Source organism: Homo sapiens, chromosome 2, assembly GCF_000001405.40.
Source record: "Homo sapiens chromosome 2, GRCh38.p14 Primary Assembly".
Classification (NCBI taxonomy): domain Eukaryota; kingdom Metazoa; phylum Chordata; class Mammalia; order Primates; family Hominidae; genus Homo; species Homo sapiens.
In genome coordinates, this window is record NC_000002.12 from 105,592,687 (window position 1) to 105,610,894 (window position 18,208).

Genomic DNA, 18,208 nt, shown 5'->3' on the forward strand with positions numbered 1-18,208 from the left:
TGAGCACCACTGGAACTATCCTTCTCACCCCTCCTGCTCCAGAGGAGTGTCTCATTATCTTTCACCTATGCCACTGCTGTGGCCTCCTTGCTCACCTGCCTGTCACCCCTTTTTCCCACCTTAGACCACCCTACCTCCTTCCTCCAGGACCACCTGAAGACACAAATCTCATCCTGTCATTTCTCTGTTTAGAAGTCCACAGACTCCCCCAACAAGAGTTGGGCTCCTTTAGAATGACACGAGGGGACTTTCACAGCTGGTTACCTTCCCGTCGCCCACCACCCCCATGCCCACCTCCACGTCTCCTTCCTGGCACGGCTTCTCCATTGTTGGTGCACAGCAGGTGGGCGGAGCCCACCTATGGGGCTGGAAACTTACACAAAATGAATGCAAAACTCCTTATACAAAAATCACACATGAAATTGAATGTGTATTTACAACAAAAACTTGTAACAAGTTATACATTTTTTAAAGCCTTGGGATACCCAGAAAATAAGAGAACATTTTCATTAATTAACTATGTGATACCTCTATGCTACATCCTCTGATAACCTTGTTATGTGGCACTGATTTTTATTGCCTTTTCTACAGAGAACAGAAGAGAATACCATCTTTCCTCTAGCATGGTTGATTGAAAATCCCTTTCATTATTGATAGTTAAGTGAAGTTTCCTTTTTACAACTCACTATTAGTCATGCATGCCGGGAAGCAATCCCTATGTTGGTGGAGATGCGTCAAACGTGCGGCCTCACGCACAGATGAATTCACCATCTATATAGCATGCCACATGCTTGGGTTCCACAGACACAAGCATTCCAGTCAATCTGATTTCATGCAATTCCCATTAAAAACTAAAAGATCTGTATGGTGTGTTTTTAATGGTATCAGCTGCATTTGTTCCAGGTGGTCAATTCGATTTTGTGCAATTCTCATCAGAAAGGAAAAAGACTGCATGATGTGTCTGTAGCAGTATCGACTGTGTTTCAGGTGGTCAGTGACACCATCTGGTGCTGGGAGGAAGTCCAGCCCAGCAGCAGAGGTGATGTTCCCAAAGGGAGACAACAGTTGACTGGCAAGTAGCTAGCAGGGGTCTCCCGGCCCTGGAAGAGCTGCCTTGCCTGAGAATGCAGCATGGCCCCAGGCAAGCTCCCTGCTGGAGCCTCTGCTTTCTTACCTGTAAAAAGCAGATGAGGACACTTAGCTGCCCGTGTTCTGTGACGTTCAGTGAGAGAGCGTATGCACAGCATCTGTCCCAGGACAGCCCCTTGCTCCTGACAGTCCTCTCTTCAGCCTTCCCCACAGCTGGGGGAATCACAGTGACAAAGGGTCCAGGTGGGCTGTCCTCACCACAGCATTGGCTACGCTCATTCTAGGTCTACCCCCAAGCCCACCTGCCCGCCCTTGCTTATCCAGGCTATGTCCCGAGGTACGGCAAAGACGGGACCGTGACAGACTGCTCCAGCCTTCCCCGTGCTCAGCAATATCCCTGCAAGAGAGAAGCCCCTCAACCTAATTTCCAGGGAGCCTTCAGCCTTCCATGGAAGTGTTGATAGGCCTCCCAGGGCTTCTGCCTTATGAAATGAAGACAGTAATTCACAAGTTTGACCCAAGTCTTGTGCCACAAATGGGCAAATCAGAAAGCTAAAAAAAAAAAAAAAAAGAAATCCCTCAACCACCTACCTTGCTAGATTCCAAAAGCCATATATTTGGTGTTAAAAATAATCTGGAGAGATTAGTCCAACTCATTTGGTTTTCAGGTGAATAAACTAATCTATACCTACAACCGAAATTAAACCCCAGTAAGTGTTATTTGTATAGGACCCTGTGCTTCTTTGGGGACAATTATTATTTGCCCAAAGATCAATTAGTTTCAAATCTCCCATATAATAACTATGCATGTAATAGGAACCTTCTAGAGAAATGTCAGAGCCCAACAGGTGGCTTGAGCGTACCAGGCCCTCAGGCAGGTCAACAGGGGACTTATTTTGGCTTTGTGGGTGTGGCTGCCACTTGCCACAAGACCTTGAGAATCCATCAAGTTCCCCAGCAGGGCAGTCACCGTATCTACTTGTTTCTGACACACCCAAGAACAGGGGCCTAGAATATAGACAAAAGTAATTCACTACTGGAAAAGACACTGGGAAAAAGAGAAATGCCTGTGGTGAAGACCCAGCATAAGATTCCATCAAGTGATGAGGGTCTCAGGCCAGATGTCCCCAGCACCAGGTGGCAATCTGGCTTGGCCTCAGTGGCAGATACAGTCACATGAGGCAGAAATGGCAGCATCCTTGCCAGGGGCCCTATCTGGTGTCTTTGCAAGAAAAAATGGGCAAAGGAGACCTCAGAAACATCTTGGTGGAGTCTCTTCCTATCTAATCCAGCCCCAGAGCTGGGAAGAGGCCCCACAAGCAGGCTGCACAAAGGTTGGGAGAATGTGGCCTGTTAAGCCTTGGAGTAAACCCAATTCCTAGATTGGTCAGGGTCTGGAGGGTTTGGGCCTCTTTCCTATAAGTGGAGTGAAGGGAGGGTGATGGGTGATGGCTGGTGTGTGTCGAGTCTTCCAGGACAGCCTCCTCCAAACCCGCCTGCTATGGCTGGCCCTCGCAGGTGTGAGCTGCCACTTCCCACTGGCCTGCCCTCCATCCTCGGCCTTCCTCTCTGTGCATAAGCCCCTGTTTCCTCTCCCAGGCAGAGAAGGCTTAGTTCTCACTGATTTCTGCCTTTTTGTCCTCCTGCCTTGTTTAAACAAGGATGGTTCTCCATCCCATCAATCCAGAGAAAGTCCTGCACTAATTACTGGAGCAGTGAAATAGGGCAGTAAGAACCTCAGGGGGTATAAAATATTGGCCCTATTCTTTAGGAGCTTTATTGGGGTCAAAGATTTTAAATAACAACGCCGGGGGTAAGGCTGAGTCACATGTGTGGTGAAATAGCTTTGCCACACTAACCCCCAGAGCCGTTCCACAAGGACAATCCACGATTTGCAGGAGGGCAGCTCCATCTGTTTGAAAGCATTGAACCAGGAGTCAGAAGACGCAGACACTAACGAGGCTGCTCGGCTGGTCGTGTGGGCAGGGGTGAGTCACCCTGCCCAGTCATCTCACCTGCAGCCTGCAGGAGTCTCTGCTGTGGGGAATACTGGTCTGGGTGGTCAAGAGGCCTGAGAGCTCTTCCTTGCTCACCACCAACAGTAGCATCCTGTATGCTTCCTTAGCCTGCATCTCCATAAAATCATAGTGTGATGGTTTGTAAGGCTTTCCAGCTCCGGAACTCTAGGACCTTTGAATGAGGTAATGGATAGGAAAGCTCTAAACCATTGCATGCTTGCAGGACATTATTGTGTTATTACTACCTCTGGCAATAAAGATTCCATAAAGGAATTGGAATTTGAATTTGGCCTTGAAGGAAGAGTAGAGCTTGGATGATGGTACAGTGTGCAAAGAGCATGATGCATAAGCTGGGAAAAGCAAGGGGGAAAAGGAGAGGGGGCAAGCAGAGACTCTGGCTAGGGACAGACTGGTGGAACTTAGATGGCCATGATGGGAGACTCAGGGTCATTCATCCATGCATCCTCTGGGGACAGGGGCTCAGGTAGGCGGCAACATCCTGGAAATACCTTGGGGGCCTGAGCTAAGGCTGCACAGGCCCCATCTCCTGTGACTATGCCCTTCCCACAAGCCCGTGAGCACCACAGCCTGCCCTCACTGTGAAAGGAATCAGAAAGGAGGCTGAAATCCAGCACCACTCCCCCTTCCAAGAGGAAGTCTGTCAAGGGATTGCGATTTTTTGGTTGGCTGTACTGGAGAGTCTTAACCTCTCGTTGAGCTCTGATCTGAGTATGCCTAAGGCTCCTTCTTTCTGGGGCTTTGGAAACCCCTTCTTTGAACAGGGAGTCAGCCATGGCATAAACGATGACTTTTATGAAAGTCAATTTTTAAGTCTTTGGCACATAGCACTGAACACTTCATAGGCCTCATTGGCACTAAGGAAGTCACAGACTGCATAGCTAACATTGCATTTGAAGATGTCTCTGCAAGCGGAAGCTGTCTTTGGTGTGGGAGGTAGCCACGTTTAATTATCATTCACAGACACTCCTCAACACTGTTCCTGGATGCCTCAGCCATTATTCTGGTGGCTTCTAAAATAAAGTCTGGTGACTATTTTGTGTGAGTGTGTGGATGGCCTGCAAGGCACCTGTCTTGTTTTTGCGGCATTGGTTTATCTAAAGAAAATTGCAGAGCTCAACAGGAAGGGAAAGTCTCTTCTCCCCTGGAGCCGAGAGGATCCTTGGTGGAGAGAAACAATAGGGACTGTGTTTGGGTGAGTCTGGTGCATCTTTGGGCCGCCACCACTCACCTTGTATCGTCCCTGCACAGGGCCCGGTCTTTAGGGTGTCATCCCTGGAGAGGAAACACCATCGCTATCACTCTTCCCAAGATTTTTCAGGCCTCATGTGCTCATCCTCCTGGTGCTGAGCTGTGCAAGTTGCAGATGGCCTTGTCCGGAATTGCTCGGGGAACACACGCACAGTTTCTGCCTGCTGGGGAAGAGAGAGGCAGGATCCAAATGGACTCAGCCTCTTTAGGCCACCTCTCCCTGATAGCTGCCCATAGTTGAAGCTGGCCTTGCACAAAGGGGCCACCAGTCCCAGCTGGTGACACAGTAGAGTAGGTGGGTGAGAGTCAGCACGCACACAGGAGTAAAAATAGGAAGAAGTGCATTGCTAACCAGGGCGTCTTGCTATACCCGGATGCAAATGATCATATACTGATGCTGCCGGGGTTATCAAAGCAGAGAGAGAGACAGACTTCAGACACCAGCACCAAGCTCCCTCCTCCCCAAGGACAGTAGTTTAAAAAACATTTCTCGTGATGTCATCCTCATTTAAAACCAGCGTAGAGACACAGTGAAAATGGTTTCAATGAAAAACACAACATGATGGTGGAAAACAAGAGTTCTGAGTCTCAGTAACACAGCTCCTGCCCCCTCCAAATTGAGGACTAACAAGAAAATGCAAGAGGAGGAAAAAAGCCCCAAGAGCAGCATGGAACTCCGTCTGTCACTTGGCATCATGCAGCTGGGTAAGATAATCTGAGACCTTGTCATTAGAGACATGCCGAATTCTTAAGCTGGGTAAAACCTAAATCCTGTAAGAATGGCCTCAGAAGGGGTCGTGGTGTGTGCAAGCCTCATTATGAAATAGCCAAACCCGGCCAGTCTTATGAGCATTTATTTGCTAACTTGGGGGATGTAAGAAAAGCAGATCTCTGTGAGTGTTTCACAGGATCCCAGTGCCAGGAAAAGCCTTCAACATGCCATGTCATCTGTCCCTCTCCCAGGGCCTTCAGCCACAGCCAGAGCAAGGGACCAACTGCCACTCAGAGGCCAAACCCTTCCCTGCCTCCCTCTGCCTGCCTCCCACTCTGTGCACTGCTCCCACACTGGAAATTTCTACCCTCTGAATAATCCGATTAACTTGTATCCAGCCAGCCATTGCCAAAGTGAAAGCATATTGCCTGGGAGGAAGTGAAAGAATGAATCCATTGGAAGCCACCAATGCGCAGGCACAAGTCAGTTTGTTGGAATGGCTGGGCTTGGAATGGGGAGTATAGGGCTGCCCTGGGGTCCTGGACTGGGAATGGGAAGCTGCTGCCTAGGGGAGGAAGGGAAAGGCCTAGCACTGACACCAACAGTGCCAGAGTGGGTACATAGGATGCTAGTGACAGCTGGGACTGGGCGCTGCTAATAAGGAGGAGAAGAATATGCTGAAAACAGACTCACTTACTTTACAATTTTGCCTAGAGCCAGGCCTGCATTTAACTTTCCCAGAAGTGAACCTGTCAGCAAACCAGGGAAGGGCCGTTTGTAATTTGCTGGGGTTTGCAAAAGCCCAGGTGGCTGCGGCTAGAGCTTTTGCTCTGCACATCACCTTCCCTCTCAGGTGCTTGGGTGGGACCCTCAATTGGAGCAGCCGAGAGCCCCAGGTTTCTGACTCAAGGTTAGGAAGGACCATTTCAGCCAGAATTCCACCGTCTCGGCTGTCTGAGCAATTCAGCACATTCCTGAAGATCTAAAGGCCTCTGTAGTTACTACCTTTTAGGACTTGCTTAGACCTCAGTGGGCCTTTTGCTGTTTAGAATTCTACTGATTTATTTCTTTATGTTCTTTTTAATTTTTTTTTTTTTTTTTTTTTTTTGTTAGAGGAAGGGAAGAAGCCATCTGTCAGTAGCTCATGCTACAAGCAAGGGAGGCTGGGCTCCTTCTTGCTCTCTTAGAACTCCCTCACATGCATTCTCAGCACCCAACCAGAGCCCTGATTTCATTCTCTTTTTACATAAAGGCTTGCCCCCAGGAGAGTTTCAAGAAGCTAAAGCAAAACAAAGCAAAACCAAAAGAAAGCAAAACTCCCCTAAATGTGCAGTGGCCTACCTGAACTCTGGGCCTGACTGTCTCACTTTTGAGCTGTGTGGCACCCTTCAGGCTGGCTAGCCTCTCTGGTTTCATTTCCCTCGTATATAAAATAACCGAGTTCACCAGATACACTCTAAAGTTTCTCCAGGCGTTGACATTTTTTGATCTCAAGGTCTGGGGAATGACATCATTTCCGATCACTGATCACTTCCAAATAACAGTGAGGTCTGTCCCCAAAGGAACTGAAAGGAACTTCCAGAATTGTGTTGTTCTTTCCGTTCAAAGCACCCAAAGTCTGGAGAGCAACCCGACATGTCTCCTTTGACAGTATACAATTTACATAATCTTTACAAATCTTCTCATCACTGCAATATGAAATCTATAAATATAGTAGCTACTAAGCCACAGTCAGGGAGGAAAGCAGCTGCAGTCCCTCCATGAACACAAAGGAAGGAGGAGAAAAAAACTAAAAAAAGGAGGTTTAGAAATCCCTCCAGAAGGTTGCTTGCAAAAGGGAAAAAGTACACAAGAAAGTTTTCCTCTAACTTACCTCTAAAACAGACTGGGATGAATGGATGCTTCCCCCACAAGGAAGAGAGGTAGACAGTTTTGGCACAACTTTATCCCTTCATCATGGGAATGGGTGGTATAACCAGTGCCAACAAACAGGATACCAAGGAGGACGCTCTATGCGTTTATTTCTCCCATTCCTGATCTATCAATAGCTTCTGAGTGTGCTTTAGGATACACCGTGCTTACAGATTAGTTATGTATAAAGTATAAAGACAGACTGCCTGGACTCAATGTGATAAATCTCTGAATATGAGAGGAAAAAAATTGTGTACAAAACAGCAAACGTAAGTTGTGGGGAGTCTTGTCTAATGGGACCAGCAAATGTTTCAGCCAAGACATTGATCATACCAAGCCTTGATAACAAATGCTGGATCTTAATGGGTCTTCCCTCCGGGAAAAACTAATTCAATCAGAGGAAATAAAAATGGATCACACTTGCTTCTTCTCTCAATTTTACAGTGTTAACTGGCAGCTCCAGGGGTGAGCCCAAAATAATTCCACACACAGCTGTAACAAAGTAGACAGCACCATGTAACAATTGGGTCTCCATTTCTTATCACTATGGACATGGACATCTTAGACCACAGTGCTATAGGCATTTGCTCCCTAAACTCACTGCTGATGCTCGGAACAGTTTTTGTTGAGGCGACTGCAAACATGGCGGAAGCAGCACAGCGGACCGGTCGGTGATTAACGGTGTGAGGCACAGTCCAATTCCTTCATTAACATTTGGCGTTCCAAGGCAGAGGTTTCAAAGTGTTTATAGTCAAAGAAATCCTTCTTCAAACAAAGTCTAATGCAGAAACCCAGTACATCAAACAGAAGAGTGAAGGCGCCCTGTTTGAGGGGATCATGGTGGAAAAGATGGGGATGGGATGGAGGGGTGGGGAGCGCTACTTAAAATGGGTTGCTGCCCTAGGGGCACCTCGGCAGCCCCTGAGATTCTAAGGAGCAGTTTAAGAACCTCCAGTGGGAGGGGTTTATCACATTCTGTGCACGATGCTTTGGAATGTTAACCAAAAATATCACAAATTTATAAATTGTGAGGAGAGGAGATTTTATTTCTTGTAAAGGGTTACAGCCTGCAAGGTGGCCATCCTGCAGGCTCAGAAGTGTGCCTCTGGCCAAGACCGGAGTCAGGCACTTCGAAGGAGGAGGGGCTGGGACAGAAGCTTCATGCTGGACAGGGTGGCCAAACATACGTATTCAACAGGTTACAGGAAGAACTACGAATATTCATGAAGGTAGTCCCGACACATGCATATTGAACAAACATGCATGTAACATACAACCCAGGTTCACTTTGGGGTGGAGATTTAACATTTAAATGTATTAAAATTAGGCCCCATACCTCAAAAGGTCTTTTCAGGACATGAAGGCGGATGAATGTACTTTCTGCAAACCAGCCAGAACCAGTCCATGGCCGGTGGTCTCTTATCAGGAGAAAGTTACTGGAGTCAGTCTCCCATCCAATCAAAGCTGTAGTTACGGCTGGTGCAACAGGGGTCAGTTACTCAGCGTCCGTGAGCTGGGTGAGTTGTAATTGTTTTAATCTTGCTTATCTTGAGGGCAGTTCTTGTTTAGCTGCTGGAGAAAAGGAAAAACCTTGTGGCAGTTAGAACCTAGTTTATTCTTTAAGTGTTGTGTGTGTGGTGTGTGTGACTTAACTCTTGGCTTGGCATGGCCTTAGGTCTTGTTTATAATTTGGTGTCTTATGGCCACAAAGAGTTCATTCTGTCGGTCTTATGATCTCTATTTTAACATTAATGCTGGTTGGTTTTTGTGTCTAAAGAGAAAAAAGGCGGGGGTATAACAAGGTATATTTGACCTCCTGTCCCTTCATGGCTGGGAACTAAGTTTTAAGGTTTTCCTGGGATCCCTTCGGCCACAAGGGGATCCATTTTGTTGGTGGAGGAGCTTAGCATCTTATTTTTAGTTTACAGGAAGGAGCAAAAAATCCTGATACTGGCTTTGACCTGCTTTTGTTGGAAAGCTGAGAACCAACCAGGCTATTTTTTTTCACTTAATAAACCCACTGGAACATACATACATACACACATACAAAAGCAACATTTTAAAGACATGTCACAGATGGACTTCAGTTGGAGTCCCCCTAAAACTCATTTGAATTTGTATTAAGCCCAACTTGGAGGAAGGGTAGGGATGCAATTATAATGCAGTGATAGGCCAACACTGGCTCACACCAGTGGATGAGAACCTCTTGTTAAATTTCCAGCAATTTTCCAAGGTGATTTTTAAACACCGCCATTATTAAAAATTAAACTCTGTATCCAGCAATTGCACTCTTTGGTATTTACCCAAATGAGTTGAAAACTTATGTCCACATAACAACTTATAATACACACAGATGTTTATAGTAGCTTCATTTATAAATGCCAAAATCTGGAAGTAACCAAAATGTAGGTGAATGGCTACATAAATTGTGGTACATCCAGGCAGTGGAATAGTATTCAGCATTAAGGAGAAATGAGCTACCAAGCCATGAAAAGACATGGAGGAATATTAAGTGTATATTACTAAGTGAAAGAAAAAGCCAGCCGGGTGTGTTGACTCACGCCTGTAATCCCAGCACTTTGGGAAACTGGGGCAGGCGGATCACGAGGTCAAGAGATCAAGACCATCCTGGCCAACATGGTGAAACCCCGTCTCTACTGAAAATACAAAAATTAGCCGGGCGTGGTGGCGCATGCCTGTAGTCCCAGCTACAGCTACTCAGGAGGCTGAGGCAGGAGAATCACTTGAACCAGAAGGCGGAGGTTGCAGTGAGCGGAGATCCTGCCATTGCACTCCAGCCTGGCGACAGAGTGAGACTCTGTTAAAAAGAGAAAGAAAGAAAGAAAGACAGAAAGAGAGAGAGAGAGAGAAGGAAGGAAGGAAGGAAGGAAGGAAGGAAGGAAGGAAGGAAGGAAAGAAGGAAAGATGGAAAGAAGGAAAGAAGGAAGGAAAGAAAGGGAAAGAAAGAAAGAAAGAAAGAGAGACAGAAAGAAAGAAAGAAAGAGCCAATCTAAAAAGACTACAAACTATATGATTGTAACTATATGACCTTCTGAAAGAAGAAAAATTATAGAGATAATTAAAAGATCAGTGGTTCCCAGGGTTTGCGGGAGGAAGGAATGAAAAGGCAGAGCACAGACTTTTAGGGTGATGAAACTATTCTTTATGATACTGTAATGGTGGATACATATCATTATATGTTTATCAAAACCCATAAAATGTACAAGACCAAGAGTGAACACTAATATAAACTATGGACTTTGGATGATAATCGTGAGTCCATGTAGGTTTATCAGTTGTAACAAATGTATTGCATGGTGTAGGATATTGATAGTGGGGTAGAAGGAGCTGTGGGAGAAGATGCAGGGGATATATGGGAACTCTGCACTTTCTGCTCAGTTTTGCTGTGAACCTAAAACTGTTCTAAAAAATAAAGTCTACTAAAAAATAAACTGTATAAGATTTAATTAAATATATTAAAAGCAGAGGTAATTGATCTTCAAAATGGATGACCTCCTGTTTTATGATATATTACTATCATCTATACTCTTATTTCTATCTATTGTATCTGTATAAAGGAGTTATTATACAATGGTGTACATCCGTGTAACTCTTCCCAACTCCGTGTTAAGTGACCTCAATTTGGTAGCTTGAAATCAACTTGGCCATAGCTGGTAGTGTTTGCAGTATAGAAGTAGGCAACCACTACATAACAGCACTTTGCCCCCAAAGACAGCTGATTATTTTTAAAATTATTACTAATATTTTTCAGAATCAAGGTCTTGCTCTGTTGCCCAGGCTGAAGTGCAGTGATGTGATCATAGCTCATTATAACCTCGAACTCTTGGGCTCAAGCAATCCTCCTGCCCCAGCCCCTCAATTATCTAAGATTACAGGTACACATTACAACATCCATTTTGTTGTTGTTGTTGTTTTGTACAGACATGGTCCCACTATGTTGCCCAGACTGGTCTTGGCCTCCCAAAGTGTTAGGGGGCTAGCTGACAAGCCCAGCCCAGAGCTGGTTATTGCACATCTGTGGCATACCACTAATAGTGGGTACAGTTGTTGGACTCATGTTTAGGATCAGTAACATATATACACCTGAGAATGTCAATCAAAATACGCCTTTTGGAAACATTATGGAAGCATAGATCTTCACATATGATTAATTTAAGGTTTACTCTGAAGTCATCCAGAGACCTCTTTAGAATGGTTCCAAGAATTCCCTCTTTTGAAAGCCAACCAATCTAAGGAATTAAATCACTCAAATTTGAAGAAGACAAATATGCCTCAGGAGCAGCACTCTTGCTATCGAAATCACTCAGATCATGTTCTGAGTGATAGATCCTAATCGCTGAACTGTTTACTGTAATTAAGTCTATCAGCATGGTTTTCTCCTGACGAAAATAAAGTTTGGTATATTATGTCTTTTGCAAAAGGTGTCTCTTATCTCCTTTAACTTGTAAATCTATGAGTCAGTAAGATTTCTCTTCAAAACCTGATTTTTCTTCCCTCCTCATGGATATAAAGAACTTAAAAAAATCAAATTAATATTGCCCACAAGAAAGAAGTTGGTTGCAAGCACCATTATTTTATGCAAACACTATTATATCCTGCTATATCTCATCAAGAATATTTGTGTGTCTGAGGAACATGTAGATCTTTTACCAGCCTTTGTTTCCATCGATGAAGTATGCAAGTTTGAAATAGATTCCAATCTGTCAATGCTTCTTTTGAGTCTACATTGTGGTGCTACTGTACAAACCAAACATGGAGGAACAGTTTTGATATAGAGGCAATCTCACTTGTAATTGGTGTTAGCACAACTGTTTGCTTTTAGCCCAACGACTCTCAGCACTGCCTGCCTGTTAGCATCAGTGGATAAGGGAAGGAGAGCTTTAAAAAAAAAAACACTGAAGCTCAGGTCCCAACACCAGGGATTCTGACTTAATTGGTCTTAAGAGAGTTGAGGGAATCAATAAGTTGTCAAATCTTTCCAGGTGATTCTAATATATAGCTATGATGAAGACCTACTATTTGAACCTATATAAAAATCATTTGATGCAGTTGATGTGAATTTGTTATTTGTTGACCTGAGACATAGGGGAACAAGTCAAGTCAAGTCCAATAAAAAACAAATCAATCATCTCTGATTATGGCATGATTTCAGTGTCTTTTGGATAGTTTAAAAAAATGGTGCTTCAGCATCAATAATATCACATAAAATCACCCTCTCTGTTGGGCAACTTCTAACATTAAAAGGTAAGTCCTATAAAGTCAGTTCAGTTATATCCCACTGAGGGTCCACTCTGCAGCCAGTGAGTGAGTGGTGGAAGGCGCTGGCACCACCATGTTCCAGGCTGCTTTGTGGTTAGGCTTCATTCTGCTTCCTCTCCTGGCACTGCCTTGCTTCTGACCCATTTTCTAAGCCAGATCTCTCAGTCTCCTGCCAATTCTGTGAGCCTCATATCCTTGTGAAAAAATTCTTCCCGTCACCAACCCCCGCCCTTCTTTTTGCTTAAAATAGTCAGAAGCACTTTTTGTTCCTTGGAAGAGAAAGATTCCTAACTGATACTTTGTCATACCCCTAAAGGAAACAGAAACCAGTGACCAGTTTTCAAAAAAAAAAAATTTCTGAACCTAAGAACATAAAAATTCAAGAAGAAAATAGTTGGGAGACTTGCCCTGCAAAAAAATAAATGTTGCAAAGTATACAGAAAAAGGAAATAGAACAGAACAGAGCATCTGAAAGCAGCCTCAGGCATATGGAGGCTCGGGCTATAACAGAGACGGCGTGATACATTGCAGAAAGGACAGGTTACTCAGCAAACGGTGCTTGGAAAATTAACACTCAGTGCGGGAGAAAATACATTACTTTCTGAGGTATGAAAAATCTAAATGCAAAATCAAAACTTTAAAACAGTTGGAAGAAAATGCAAGAAAATATAGGCCAGGCGCAATCGCTCACACCTGTAATCCCAGCACTTTGGGAGGCCGAGGTGGGCGGATCACTTAAGGTCAGGAGTTTGAGACCAGCCTGGCCAACATAGTAAAGAGCTGTCTCTACTAAAAATATAAAAATTAGCCAGTGTGGTGGCGAGCAGCTGTAGCCCTAGCTACTCAGGAGGCTGAGGCAGGAGAATTGCTTGAAACCAGGAGGAAGAGGTTGCAGTGAGCCAAGATCGTGCCACTGACCTCCAGCCTGGCTACAGAGCAAGACTCTGTCTTGAAAAAAAAAAAAAAATCTCTTTATGCCATATACATGTACCCAAAACTGAAAGGGAAAGACTGATGTATTTGACTACAATTAGGTAAACTTTATTTATTTATTCATTTTTATTTTTAGACACAGAGTCTTGCTCTGTCGCCCAGGCTGGAGTGCAGTGGTGTGACGGCAGCTCACTGCAGCCTCAAACCCTTGGGCTCAAGGGATTCTCCTGCCTCAGCCTCCTAAGTAGCTATGACTACAGGAGTGCCCCACCATGCCACGCTAATGTTGTATTTTTTTATTATTTATTTATTTATTTTTGTAGAGACAGGGTCTCTCTTTGTTGCCCAGGCTGGTCTCAAATTCCTGGGTTTAAGTAATCCTCCTGCCGTGGCTTCCCAAGGTGCTGGGATTACAGGCATGAGCCACTGCACCTGGCCCCAAAATTTATCATATGAAAAGCCACCATAAACAAAGTGAATAGGCAAGTCACCAGTTAGAAAAAGATTTGCAATTTAGATAACCAGAAAAGGATTAGAACTTAGTATGTGTAAAAAATTCATACAAATCAGTAAGCTATAAACAGGCCAATAGAAAAAATGAGCAAGGGATATAAATGGATAAAACACAGAAAAGAAAAACTGAATAGCCTATATATATGAAAACATGATTATTCACTAGTAATAAGAAAAATGAGTTATTTTAGTTTATACTCAAAAGTATTGATGAAGATGTAGAGAAATGAGAACTCACAAACTGCTGGCAGAAGCGTGAACTGGCTCAAGACTTTGAAAGACAATTTGGCAATAGATGGTTAAGGGGAAGATGAGTATGTATCGTCTACCCGAGCAGTGTTGCTTTCATGGTTCATGCTAGAGAAACTCACACTTGGCCATGATGGCACATGTATAAAAGTGCTCATTGTAGCATTGCTTATATCAGAAGAAAAGGCAAAAATCAAAATGTCCATTAACAGTAAATAGGTAAATTATAGTATATTTATACAGTAGAATACTATACTTATCACACAGGATTAAAAGTTAATTAACTAAAGCAGCATACTTCATCATGAATGAATGTCAAAAACATAATGTCAAGTGGGAGAAAAGCAAGTTGCAAAATTATATCAGTTAAACCAATTATTTAAAATTGGTATATTATGTCTTTTGCAAAAGGAATCTCTTATCTCCTTTAACTCGTAAATCTATGAATCGGTAAGGCTTCTCTTCAAAATGTGATTTTTTCCCCTCCTCATGGATATAAAGAACTTTAAAAAAACCAAACTAATATTGCCCACAAGAGAGAAGCTTATTGCAAGCACCATTATTTTATGCAAACACTATTATATCCTGCTATATCTCATCAAGAATATTTGTGTGTCTGAGGAACATGTCAATATTATCTATAGGAAAAGTATAAAAACATAATCAAGAAGAACATTCACTAACCTCTGCATAGTTAGTTCCTAGTGAGGGAAGGAAGGGAATGACATCAAGAAGCCAAAGGCAATTCGATTGCATCTGTAGTTTCCATTCCTTAAAAAATATCTGAACCTAATTTACTAAATCTGGGTAATGGTATGATGAGAGTATATTATTTTCTGTACTCATTTGTCCTATTTTAAATATTTTTATTAAGTGTCCCAACCTGACTTTTTCTCCTTTCAACTAAGATACTGAAAGGCTTTTTGCCCCAGAACTACTTTTGAAAGGCTTTTTTCAAAAAAAGATACCAAAAGGCTTTTTGGACCCAGAGATATTTTTGAAAGGCTTCTTTAGGCCAGGTACCGTGGCTCATGCCTGTAATCCCAACACTTTGGGAGGCTGAGGCGGGCGGATCACTTGAGGTCAGGGGTTCGAGACCAGCCTGGCCAACATGGTGAAACTCCATCTCTACTAAAAATACAAAAAGTAGCCGGGCATGGTGGTGGGCTCCTATAATCTCAGCTAACTGGGGAGGCTGAGGCAGGAGAATTGCTTGAACCAGGGAGGTGAAGGTTGCAGTGAGCAGAGATTGCACCATTGTACTGTACCCTGGACAGCAGAGTGAGACTCTATCTTAAAAAAAAAAAAAAAAAAAAAAGAAGTAGAAATTCTGAGATGGAAAAGCTTTTTGCCCCAGAGCTTATGCTTTCACATGTCACTATTGCAGCTCCCAGCCCTGTGGGGTTTCACTCTAGGTGTTATCACTTGCTTTGATTATAAGACTCTAAACCACAGCCCTGGGTGAACCCTGGCCCATCTGGCATGAAGACAGAAGACCATCATACAATTGCCAGCCTCTTCTTTTCACTCATCCTCATAGTCAAGAAATATGTGTATGTGTCCACTGCAGCCTGTGTTTGCTCTGCCCCCTCTCTTCACGCCACACTCCCAGCTTGATGTTTGCCAGTTCATGCTTGTGCCAGTTGTTGGCACTTACTCTCTGGCGAGTGTACAGCTGACCTTACTGCCTCTGGCTCCTCCTTCCTGTGCTCTTGCTCTTCCATCCACCAACTTTATTAATACTCTGTTTTATGACCCAGGTTACCGAGGAGACCTCAAATCAGGGTGGAGAAGGTACGTCTGCATACCATGCTCTCCCTCCCCAACCTCTCCTCTGCAGGTCCATAGTCACCTATTCGTGATGCTCCTCAGACATGGCCATCCAGGCGTTGCCCACCTCTCGTTGTTGTGAAATACACTCAATTGCTATCTATTGATACCTATTTTTATATTTTACTACAGTGGCAATGAAAGAATTATTTGGGGGAGGATAGGTAGTAGGAATAGCTTTATTAAAAGAAAAATAAAGATCACAGATTTTGCTGTATACATTTCCAAATTCTTCATCACAGTTTTTTTTTTTCTTCACGAGGATTGGATTGTACTGCATATGGCACTTTGAAACCTGCCTTTTCCCTTTATGATTTATTCTGGGCACCTTTTTTTCAGATCAATGATTTTTTTTCTTTTTCTTTTCTTTTTGTTTTGTTTTGTTTTGAGACAGGGTCTTACTCTGTCACCCAGGCTGAGTGCAGTGGCCTCATCTCGGCTCACTGCAACCTCAACCTCCTGGGCTCAAGCAATCCTCCTGCCTCAGCCTCCCAAGTAGCTAGGACCACAGATGCGTACCACCACACTCAGCTAATTTTTTTTTTTTTTTTTTTGTAGAGACAGGATTTTGCCACATTGCCCAGGCTGGTCTCAAACACCTGGGCTCAAGCAGTCACCCTGCTTTGGCCTCCCAAAGTGCTGGGATTCCAGGAGGTCAATGACCTCAAGCTCCTCTATTCCCAGCAGCACTTCTGAGCTCCTGGCAGGAACATATATTCATGTATAAGCATGAAAAGGGGGGTCCCCAACTCTGCCAAGGGTGGGAGTAGGGAGCCACGGTAGACTCCCTCACAAACACAATTGGAGATGACCAGAAGGCTAAACATTGGTGCCTTTGGCCTTCAAGATACCCTTTAGAAGACAATTATTATATTTTCTTGAGTGTGAATGGAGATAGGATGGGAGGAGCAGCTTCCAGGACCCTGCCCCACGGCAGACCGGCCTCTGCCCTGTGGATCCCAGGACCCTGCCCAACAGCAGGCTGCCCTCTGCCCTGTGCATCCCAAGCACTTTCTCTGTGCTGCCTGGTGTTGCAGAAGTCCTGCCTCGCCATGGACACCGTGGAAATGAACAGGCTTGCTGAGTGACTGGCATTTGCAAAGCTTTCACAAATAACACTAAACACCGTGATTTCCTCAAGATGTTCTGGAGCCCTCAGACTGGGCCCTCTCTGTTGTGGGGTGCTCAATCTTCCCAGGCTCAGGCTGCCCCAGGGGCTGGGCCACGCTGCCCCAGGGGCTGGGCCACGCAGCCCCTATCGTCACCCTCACTACCCAGGCCTCTAGCCTGCACCCTTCCCCTCCCTACACTCCCCACAGGCAGCTCTCATCAAGCAACTGCTTCTCCAAGCGCTTGTGACTAAACCCCAAAGAGGCCTGGAAAGAGGATGTTGGAAACAAGCAGGGGGTGCACTTTGGGGGAGGCGAGGCCTGGGAAGCCGGCACACTTCTATGTGAGTGGAGGCTGTTGGCTGATTGGCCACTTGACCTTTGACCTGAGCCCCAAGGAAAGTGCACCCTCCTCTCTTTCATTTTGTTTATGGCTTCATACAAGCTTCCCATTTACGTGAACATTCTGACAGAAGAGGGCTCTCATTTGGCCAGGTCCTGAAAGCAGAGAATTCTGCTCCTTCTATGGGACCAGCAGCCTCTCTTGCGGGCGTTTGGCTCTGCCTGCGAGGCAGGTGGGCTGCCAAGGCTTCCCAGCTGGGCTTTTCTGCTTTAGATAAGCTGAGATATTTGTGCATGAAACCTTCTGCGATGTGACCCTGCGAAATGCATGCTGCGCCACACCCTTTTATCGTTGTTAATTGAGAGCAGAGTGTTGCTAAACTTACCATGTGATGGATATTTCTCCGTTTTGATATTGCACAGAATGAAGAACATAGCAGACAGATGAAGTAGGCCTGGTGGTGCTCTGAGCAGAACAAATCCTAAGGCCAGGTTAGACTAGCTTTGCACTGTTTCCCTCGTGTCTAGATTTCTGAAGGATGAGTCTTTTGATTTGTTTCTAACCTGCTTAAAAGAGATGGGGAGGCGGAGGAAGCAAGGAGCCGAGGTGCAGCCGGATGCCTCCCAGGATGAATAATGGCAACAAGAAACAGAGTTCTTAAAGCCCAGATGATAAGGGCCTCAGTCTGGGTGTGAATGAACTTGGCCTGACTTCTTTGCTGCCGTCATATGAACCGGAAGGAGACAGCTTAGATAGAGCAAGCCTGCTCCTTCCAGAAGCACGAGGGTCCTGTGGCGGTTTTTGCTTCAAACACCGCAGAACACAGAGCAAACCCCATGACGCCGTCCTTCAACTAAACAGCCCAAAGCAGCAAACTAGAGGTTTCCATTTTTAGTTTGCAAGGGGAACAACTGAGCTTTCATGAGTTGGAATTTGCTAACGTAAATTGAGC

General features: G+C 44.7%; 1 long non-coding RNA gene across 1 annotated transcript; it reads right to left on the reverse strand.

Annotated features, from left to right (window-relative positions):
* Positions 1–410: 410 nt before the first annotated feature.
* LINC02946 (long intergenic non-protein coding RNA 2946) lies at positions 411–17,873 on the reverse strand. Its single transcript, NR_038891.1, has 4 exons — positions 17,642–17,873; positions 8,336–8,571; positions 4,357–4,540; positions 411–1,174 (listed from the first exon to the last, which is right to left on the reverse strand). It is a non-coding gene; the product is annotated as a long intergenic non-protein coding RNA 2946 (long non-coding RNA).
* Between the last annotated feature and the right edge of the window lie 335 nt (positions 17,874–18,208).